General features: G+C 35.0%; 1 long non-coding RNA gene across 1 annotated transcript; it reads right to left on the bottom strand.

The window, feature by feature from the left end:
• Window positions 1-543: 543 nt before the first annotated feature.
• Window positions 544-7,320, bottom strand: LOC107985391 (uncharacterized). The gene is made up of 3 exons (XR_001737792.1): window positions 7,243-7,320; window positions 6,426-6,495; window positions 544-768 (listed from the first exon to the last, which is right to left on the bottom strand). It is a non-coding gene; the product is annotated as an uncharacterized LOC107985391 (long non-coding RNA).
• Window positions 7,321-10,331: the final 3,011 nt, after the last annotated feature.

Here is a 10,331-nt window from a genome sequence, read left to right as displayed (position 1 = left end):
TCCTGTAGGTCACCAGAAATGTTTAATGTAGCTTCAATTTTTTGTAGGGTATTTTTCAAGTCACACATTATTTTTCTTACCTCTGGAATTTAGGTTTAAATCTCTTTTATATTTTCCATGTTACTTCTTCCAGTTTTCCTAATACAAGAAATACAGCCTTAGTAACTGCTTTAATGTATTTGTGTATTAATTCTATGATTTGTGTTATTTCTGTGTCAGTGTCTCTCTTTTTTTTAACCATGGTTTTTCATTTTCTTGTTTTGTGTATCACTGGTAATTTTCATTGGTTGTCAGACATTGTAAACTTCATCTTGTTGGATTTTGGGACTTGTATGCTTATAAGTATCTTTGAACTTTATTCTCAGACATAGCAAAGTTACTTAGGAACTGTTTAATTCTTCTGGGTCTTAATTTTAGGTTTAGTTAGTGTAGGAGTTTTCTATTGCTGCAGAGCAAATTATCACGATGTTAGTGACTTAACAAACATTTATTATCTCATAGTTTCTGTGGATTAGGTGACACAGCACTTAGGTGGGTCTTCTTTTCAAGGTCTCAGTCTTGGATAGACTGCATTCTTGGATGGGCTGCATTATTTTCTGGAGCTCGTGGTCTTCTTACATGCACATATGCTTGTTGGCAGAATTAAGTTGCTTGAAGTTGTAGGACTGCAGTCTCAATTTGACTGGCTGTCAATCAGGTTCCACTTTTAACTCTTAGAGGCCTCTTCAATTCCTTGACATGTGTCCGTCTCACAGCACAGCAGCTTACCTTTTCAAAAAAATAGCAGTAAAGTCACTCTCTTCCAAAAAGGCCCAGGCCCCGCTTTGAGGGCTTTCACTTGATTAAATCAAGCCCAACCCAAATAATCTTTCTTTTCATTAATTTAAAGACTAACTCGAAACTTTAATTACACCTCCACAATCCTTCCGCCTTTGCTATAGAACATATCTCCTATATTTGAATATAAAATTCCATTGTATCCACAGATTATACCCGTACTCAATGGGACAAGATTATATAGAGTGTGTATATCACGGGGCAAGAATCTTGGGGACCATTTTAGGATCCTGCCCACTACATGTTGTCAGTAGGTGTACAGCACTATTTAGTCTAGGGTTAATGTTACCTAGCTACTGAGAATATCTCTCTGTTAGCACTCTATTTTATTATGAGGTTTTCTGCTCTTACTGTTGGGAACAGGAGCTTTACCTGGCTAAGTGATCTTCAGTCACTGTCCCTTGTATTCCTTTTAAGTCATTTTTTTCCCTCTGGGCTCAGATGATATCCTCATATGCATAAGATAATCAGTATTTGAATAAATACTTAGAGGAATTCTGTGCAGATCTCAGGAGTTCTTTCTCTATGCATCTTTGTCCTTGCCCATACTCTGCTCAGTAAACTCTTTTCACCTTGGTTTCTCTGGACTCAGATTCATGCCCTCAACTGAGGGCTACCTAGAAATTTTTTCTAGGTAACAAGCTGCAGCAATCATAGTGTCTACGTCTTTTGTTTACAACCTCTCATGGACCATTGATATTTGTTGTTTAATTTTCAATGTCTTTGATGTTATTTTTTCATAGATTTTGTCTGAATGTTTTAATTGCTTCAGGTGGGATGTCAGACCCTATTACTCCATCTTGACCAGAAGAGGAAGTCCCACAATTATCTCTTGGCCTATTTTTCTTTACTAGTTCAAAATTCTCTCAAAACTATATCACCACTTCCTATTCAGAAACTTTTCATTGGTCTACAATGACTTTAGAATATATTCTTAGTTCTTTCGCTTAAAATTTGAGGTTCATAACTATTTTTCATTTACCCCATTTCTGAATCAATCTAAAAAATGATTTCCTTTCACACATCAACATGGATTCTATGGTTTTCCTCAAAGTTACTCTGTACCCTCCTGCCTTCTAGTTTTTTCATGTTCTTAATGATATGTCAGATATTCTCCCTCACAACCCCACTCCTCGCTGGTGAAAGACTTCACAGACAATGTTCTTAATTTCTAATGCTGCTGCTTCTTTCCAGAAGTCTTTCTTGATTTTACCATACCTTTTCTTTTCCCATTCACTTCTGTTCTTCCAAAGGGCGTGGAATATTATAATGGCACATAACATGCACTTCTTTGTGTTGCCTTTGTGATGTACATGGTAGTTTTTTCCTCTTACAGTAAAAAGCTTTTAAGGTCAGTGAACAAATCCTTTTTATATTTTGTATCCCTATCCTGTTCCCTCTTCCCCGTATACATATATACTCGTAAAAATTCTAATTAAGTATTTTACTTCTGTATATGCACAGCAATATTAAGACACGGGTGTGGGAACTACCTCAGATCAGGCATATTCTAAACTACAGAATAAGTTGATACATGCCTATAGAGTTTTGAACATTTATGTTATTTTTTAGTTTCCTAAATGATTGTTTTGAAAGAGTAGGTTTGAATGAGGAAATAATTTCTTTCATATTTCTGCCAAGTGGCATAGAGAAAATATAAGAAAAGGTATAGTACTCACAGGGAATAGTACTACTGAAAAAAACTGTTTGCTAAGACACGACAAGAACACTATGGTTGCTTTTGGTAATATTTTTTAAATATTTCCTTGGCAGTAAATCAGTTAATTTTTTGGTTTAAATTAGGATATACTATTTCACCAATAAAATGCGCATGTGGGTAGAGAGAAGTGGTAAGTAGCATACCTGTAACAAAATCAAATCTAGATATTAATTCTAGGTATATTAAATTGTGAGCCAATTATGGAAGGAGACACCTTATGGAGTGGAAGAAATGAGAGAGCCGTGAAAGGCATGCTCTAACTAATAAGCCAAAGTCTAATTTGAAGATAAGATTAACTAATGATATGGCATATGTGTGTGTGTGTGTGTGTGTTTGTGTGTGTGTGTAATTTAACATATTAGTAAGCCTAAATGCTACAAAACATATGAGTAGGATCTTTATTAAGTATAAAATACTCTGAAATTAGAACATCATCTGTAAATTTATTTTATAAACTTACGTTTTCCTTCCATCTCACAAGTATATTCTCATTAAAGTTTCAGGTACTGAGAAATAGTCAAATACAATAAAAAATTGCTGGTCTGAGGACAGGAGATACATGCAGTGTGCAAGTATCGTATTTGTAATTAGATACAAATTAGGTAGAACACAGGACATACTAGATGTTCCTTTTCACTTCTATTTTTTTCTATGTCTTCTTCAAAATGTATACAGTTTAGGAGTTAATTCTGCTTTTCTCAAAGAGTTCTGTGTAAAGAAATATATTTAAGACCCTGTGCTGGCCTTTATGGCATATGGTACAAGACAGGAAATCCCAAGTTCATCAGCAGATGCTACTTTCCAGATGGCATTAGGGATTTAAAGACTGCATTTTTTGTCAACATACCTATTATCCCTACCCCATCACTATGGAGGACTCCATTGATCAAGTAAATTATTCACTAAAAGAGGGTCTTACTTAACACTTACAGAGGAGATAATTCTCTGCAAGTACATCTGTCCATTGGAATTACCATTTTTTTTTTGAGGTAATGTATGGCAAAGTGTAATCCAGGACTCCTCAGATCAGTGTATCTCTGGATGGATTCTTATTAAAATGAAAATCCTTGGGATCCACCTCAGTCCCACCGATTTTCATTCTCTGATAATGGAAATCTGGAATCTGCTTTTACAAACCATCCAGCTGCTTTTTAAACACGTGAATATTTAAGAGTCACTGTTCTGATGCTAGAGAAATTTGTTTTTTTTCCCTTTTATCTTGTATGGGAACCTCCTTTAATTAAATGGCATAAATTATTTCAAGGTAGCTATTTTTATGAAACAATCCAATTCAATACAACTCACATGTATTGATTAGAGATGTGAAAAGTACTTGAACTTCTGTATAGGGCATGGAGATGGCTAAAATGTGGTACCACTTAAAGCACTATGAGTTCCACGGTAGTTCCACTATATGAGTGATTAATGTCACTTGGAGAAGATGGAAGTAAATTTCCCAGAGACTGCCTTTGAGCTGAGAATTGAAATACGACGTAGAATTTAATAGACAGAGAAAAGAGGGGAGATACATTATGGGTGAGAGAATGGCTCAAGGCAAAGGCAGAGAAATGTGAATGAAATATAATTTGTTCAGGGAACTAATAAAGGTGCATGGTGGGAGTTGAACTTAGCAAGGAAAGAGAGGACATTCTCTTTGTCAGTTCCTTGCAGCTTTGTCCTGGAGCATGACCCTACATTGCTCCTTTTCTTAATACTTACTGAGTGGAATTGAATATATTCTTAAATATTTAACCTAATATTCACTTTTTATGCAGATATGACCTAATATCATAAGTGACTACAAGGGGGCTCACAAGTTCGAGGGTATGCACCAAAGCCTCATTTCAGCTGGTGAGCCAGTTTCAGTGTATAAATGTAGATTGGTCCTGCTAATACAGAAGACTCACTGAAAAGTTGCAGTTGTCACTCTATCTGATCCTACAAATAAAGGAGAATTTAAAATATGTATGCCATTTACAATAGTTTGGTAACATTCCTTTCATATCTAAATGGTGTATATATATGCACATCATTGTTACAAGTGTGTTGAGTCCTTTTCAATCTTTCTGATTGTGTCTTCTTTCCTTTCTGTATTTTCTGACGTTCTTGAAACTGAATTTCTCCCTTCTCTATAGAGATGTACATACATATGACTGTAAACAAATAGCTTATGACATATAGAATAATTGTCTTCCCTTTTTTCACAGCCCTCAGAGATGTTTACCTCCTAATCTCTGGATCTGTGAATATATTGCTTTACATGGCAAAAGTAACTTTGCGTATGTGATTAACTTAAGGATTTTGAGATGAGGGAGTTTATTCTGGACGATCTAGGTGGACCCAATGTAGTAAGGAGAAATGTTGAAAAAGAAAGGCAGGAGAGTCACAGTGGAAGGACAGATGGAGTAATGCATTTTGAAGATGGAGGAAGAGGCCTTGAGGCAAGAAACGTAGGTGGCCTTTAGCAGCCAGAAAAGGCAAGAAAATGCATTCCCATAATGCCTCTGAAGGGAACACAATTATGTTGACAAAATAAATTTAGCCCTTAAACCCCATTTTGGATTTCTGACCTCTAGAACTGTAAGATAAAAAGTGTGTGTTGTTTTAAGCCTCTAAGTTTATGACACTTTATTGTGTCAGCAGTAGAAAAACTAATACATATTCCTAGGCATATAAGCACCTTGGAAGGAAGAGAGTTCCAAGTAGCACTGCTCCCATCCAGAATGTGCCTATCTCCTTCCCTTCTGTAAAGTCAGTTGTAAGTAGCACAGTTCAAGAGCACACTTAGGAACTTAGCACTGAATGATTGAAATCCACTTACTTTGCTTGTTTTGGCCACCAGATTGGCCTGGAAGCTGTCTTACCCAAGATGGTTCAGAAAACAATGGAGATGCCAAGGTTCTAGTATCTTTTTTGCAATGTCAATTTCGGATTTGCATGTTTCTTGGCAAGATCATTGTACTGCAGATGGCCTACCCATGCAGAAGTTATTCTCTTTGTCCCATAGCACCTAATTCATATTGCTGAGTATAGCTTGCCCTTAGGGCTCTTAGCAATTAAAACTGCCATTCTCCCATTTGCATACTCTTGCATTGTAACAACAGCTGTTCTCCAACTTCTGACTACATGGCAATGTTTGTGAGTATATGTGTGCCTTTTTGGGTTGCAGCGTTATTTTTAAAAGTCAGCTATGTGATGGTGTTCTCATACTATACAGTCTAGCTGACTGATATTCTCCCATTCTCTCTGCAGTGCTCTATAGAAATGTTATTTCAAGGCTAAACATGCAATTCACTAGGCCCTTTGGATTTATGTCTACCACCTCTCCACTGGCAACCTCAAACCTTTTATTATATTCTTTTCTGGCACACATGTGATGGTTTGCCAACCAAAGGAAAAGCTCTAACTCTGGTTTTGCAACTCATAGTTCTCCTTATTAAGCTAATGCTTTCTTCTTCACAACAGTGACAATTAGAACCAGGAAAGTGCCAAAAGTTCCCGAGTTTGCCAAGCCTGCAAGCCCAGATAAGCTTAATTACCAGCCAAATGCCAACGTTTTGAGAAACAGGAATTGAAGCAACATTGAATTAATGTTGAGACTAAAATTTGAAAGCCATCCAGAAGAAGTCATAGGGTCTCACTGCCTGTTAGAGAGGTCTTTGTTTTGTACAGTTTACTTGTCATATATCAGAGGTAGTTGTCCTATAACGAACTGGTAAGTGGTTTATATAATGAATGATTTTCTAAAGAAACCACCATGCTGTTACATGGAACAGTTTCATCCTGCTGGTTTTCTAATAACTTATAGAGGTGCAATAGTTGAATATAGAACTGTCATTTTGAATTGTAAGATGGATATTTGATTTACCTTAATATTGTTTGTGTAGCAGGACAGGTCTTATATCCACTTCATCCATTTCTTTCTTCTGCTCTTTACTCTTGTTTTAAAGGGATGATGGGGAGGCATCAAAAAAAGTAAAGATTGTGTTAACCATAATAGACCATCACATATTTAGTATAAGTAATAATTAAAAGTGGGAGTTGGGGGGATGGAGCATGTGGTAGGCTTTATTGCTTTTGTAGAAAGTGTTATGAAAAATCTGAAAGATGCCTCCTTCAGAAATGGACTGTGAGGACTGGCTATTGTCCTTTTTAGTAAATAGGACTTTGAGAAACTTTGACTATAGGAACAGATCAGAGGTCTAGGAAAGGGAGAGCCAGAAGAATATGCCAGTTAACTGCAAGGTGACCATGATAAGAAATTTAAAATATTGTGCACCAGCTCTCTGTACATTTGTGTCAGGCTGAGAGAAGGTAAACATTATCACTGTTAATGGCCTGTGCCTACAAAGCCTTCCAAGAGTTGTGCAAGAGTGAGATATCACAAATATAGTATTCTAAGACCCATTCCTATTAGTACTTGCCTCTCTCAAGTAAACATAACACCAAGATGCCAAAAAGATACAAAATATAAGTTTTTTTCAAAAGAATAACTATCACTGAGTGATCTGGAATTATTGGATTTATGGTTCTGATCAACTTAATAAAATATAATTCATCCCATTCATTCAAAATCATATAGAAAGGTTTTCTGTAGCTTCCATATGAATTCACTGCAGAAGGAGAATAATAAAGAGATCAAAACAGCTGATTTTAGGGAGGGGAGGCGGGGGTATTATAATTACCTGATGAGCATTTTTTCCAGTCTCTCTCTTACGTTCCCCACCATTTTTGTTCCAATATGCTTGTGGATTGTGTAAAGTTTGAGAAAACTAGAGCAGTAAATGACATTTCCTTGAGTTTCACCTCTCTTGAGAATCCCTGCATCTGAAACATTGTACAATTATAAGGCAGTAGGAAAATATCTTGCTCTTGTTTTCATCTTATTCTCTTCATTCTCGCTTCATCCTTGGAATATAAGATATATGATGGTAAAGAAGTAAAAATTATAAAGGATTCTGTAAGTTCTAATTTTTAGTGTCCAGTAGTTACTTTCAGGGCTAAAAGCTGTGCATGGATTAATCTTAAAGGGATGCATTTGCTAATTTTAGAATTAATATACTAAAATTAACTTATTTATTGAATATCTGTTATGAGTTCTTTGCTAGATTATTATTATATACTGTTTTATTTAACCCTCAAAATAACCATTTGTGTTGTGTGGTGTAGCTACTTAAAATTATCCTCTTTATTTTTAACATAAAAGTAATTCATTGTCATTGTAAAATCTCAGAAAAATGCAGATGAGAGTAATGAAGAATATAAAACTAATCCATAATGTTAACACTCAGTAATAACCACTGATAAGTCTTTTCTTATATTTATGTCTGTGTATTTTAAAACATATAAAAGTCAAAATACAATGTAAGTACAATGGTTATGAACCATAAACATAACATAAAACACCTATCAAAATACAGCCAAATGTTACCACATATTAAGATAGCAGATTGTTGTAGTAGTATCCCATTTTCTTCTGAAGCATTCCCTTAATGTACAGAAAAATGATTCACATTGGAATGTATTGCCTATATAATCTCTCTCTCTTCCTTCCATCCTTATCATAGTATTTCCATTCTTGTTAACACTATGCTGCATAGCTGGGCACAGTGCAGGTTGCCCTAATTTTTACTATCTGTTTTCAAAAAATTTCATTTCATACTACTCTGGGAGTCAATTTACATATGATTAAATATTTGTTAAGATTTTTTTTTGCATTTTTATGGTGTCTCATTTTCAAGACATGTAATCATTTATTTACCTACTCAATATTGTTAATTTAGTCTTGACAGTTTTTTCTTAACACAAAAAGTACGGTGATGCATATAATTTTGCATAAATCTTTGTCTGCATATCAGCTTTTGTTTTAGGATAGATATCTAGAAGAAGAAACACTGGAGCAAAGTGTTTTCATTAGTCTATAGCTTTTAATATGGATTGAATAATTGTTTCTAGAAGTATATCAATGTATAAGTTGGCCAACAGTTAATGACAGTGCTTCTTTTATAGCACTAGCTAACATATGACAATATCATTTAAAAAATGTTCATTTCCTAATTAGATAGGCAAAAATGATAATTGCTTATAAAAGGTTTAGTGCGGCGGTATGGCTAGGCTATGAAATTAACCAGATTTACAGTTGGGAAGACTTGGACATTTCTCGACATAGTTTCTTCTTTAAAGTGGGGAAATATGCTTACCTCATAAGGTTGGTGCATGAAATTAGTTGGCTTTTTAATATAAATCATCTAATTTGTACTCATAGATGGTAAGTACTCCATAAATTATAATGGCTTTAATAGATTTATTATTTTATTGAATTATGTATGTAACATTTTAGCCTATATAAAGTGTCAACAAATTTTAATTGCATTTATTAGTAATGAGGTTGAATATTTCTATATAAACTTATTATACATGCTATGTCATTTGTCTTTTTACAATCTTATGTTTTAATACCAATTTTAATGAAGTCATTATATATCAAGGTTGTAAACATATTGTTAATCTGGAAACATTACCCTTTTTTGCCTTTTTGTATATTACATTATTGAGATAGGAGTTTTTGATTTTATGTAGTCAAATGTCTGAGTTTTCCTTTGAAGATTCTTCTATGGTTTTTGTGCTAAAAATAACTTTTCTTTTGTCAGATTAGATGAACCTTCACTTTTTCATTGCTGTTTAGTTTTCATTTGGTTGGCTGAAAACCTAACCAGAACAACAGCTAAAGTCTTACCTAGGGATGGTGCATGGGCACCATCCCTAAAAGAGAGAAAGAGATTTATGTGTGGGTGGTCCTGTGCACATTTGGGACAAAATGTGAGGTCATGGGGCATTATTTGTGGAAAAAAGGAAAATAAATTGAGTGTTCTCTTTCTTCTGTTTAGAGGCGCTTTATTTTTAGTGCACATCACTGAATTTTTTCTGTATAATTCCTTCTAAAGTAGTGAGGGTTAAGTAAGGCATAAGTTAATATTTATTCATCTCTCCTTTTCATTCTTCCTTCCGAGAATAGCTAACATTGAATCTTTGCTATACATTTCTCTATTAAGAGTGGGGGACATCTAATCATTTTGCAATATATTTTTGCAAAGAATCACTCAATGAGTCTATTTACTGTTATAAATTATAAGCAAGTGAACACCAATTGCCTTTGGAGAAGAAAATAACAAGATTTTTTTTAATGGATAAAGGAGAATATAAATAAATTTACATAGCAATTTTGGGGTTTCAATATTTTTAGAGCCTCTGTAATGGAATGAAGTGATACTGCTGAGATCAACCAATAGAAAAGGTCGCCAGGTTTCCCAGGAAAGAACTCTTGGTTGAAAAAAAGAAAAAAAAGAAGAAGGAAAAAGAGGTCTCTTTAAGTAATCAGGGCTCAGTTCCAGAGCCTAGTGCCCAAGAGGGAGAGGTTGATCATTTCAGGTTCAGAATGTGCTGAGCAATCTCCTCTTGAGCAAGTTACCTTAGCATTGTGAAGACACCTTGGGAATAGTTCTGAATGTGAGGGAAAAAAAGCTGGAACATTTAGGAAACAGAATTGTTTATAAATAAAGGAGAGCTGTAGTTTGTATAAAACCAAATACACACAATTTCAGGTATTGGAACTACTATACTCAGATGTTAAAAAATATTACCAAGAAAATTTAAATTAAAAAATAGAATTCCTGGGCCGGGCGCGGTGGCTCACGCCTATAATCCCAGCACTTTGGGAGGCCGAAGCGGGCGGGTCACGAGGTCAGGAGATCGAGACCATCCTGGCTAACATGGT

The sequence above is a fragment of the Homo sapiens genome, chromosome 1 (genome assembly GCF_000001405.40).
Source record: "Homo sapiens chromosome 1, GRCh38.p14 Primary Assembly".
Classification (NCBI taxonomy): Eukaryota; Metazoa; Chordata; class Mammalia; order Primates; family Hominidae; genus Homo; species Homo sapiens.
The sequence above is the reverse complement of the archived record's forward strand: the minus strand, read 5'-3'. Positions and strand labels throughout refer to the sequence as shown.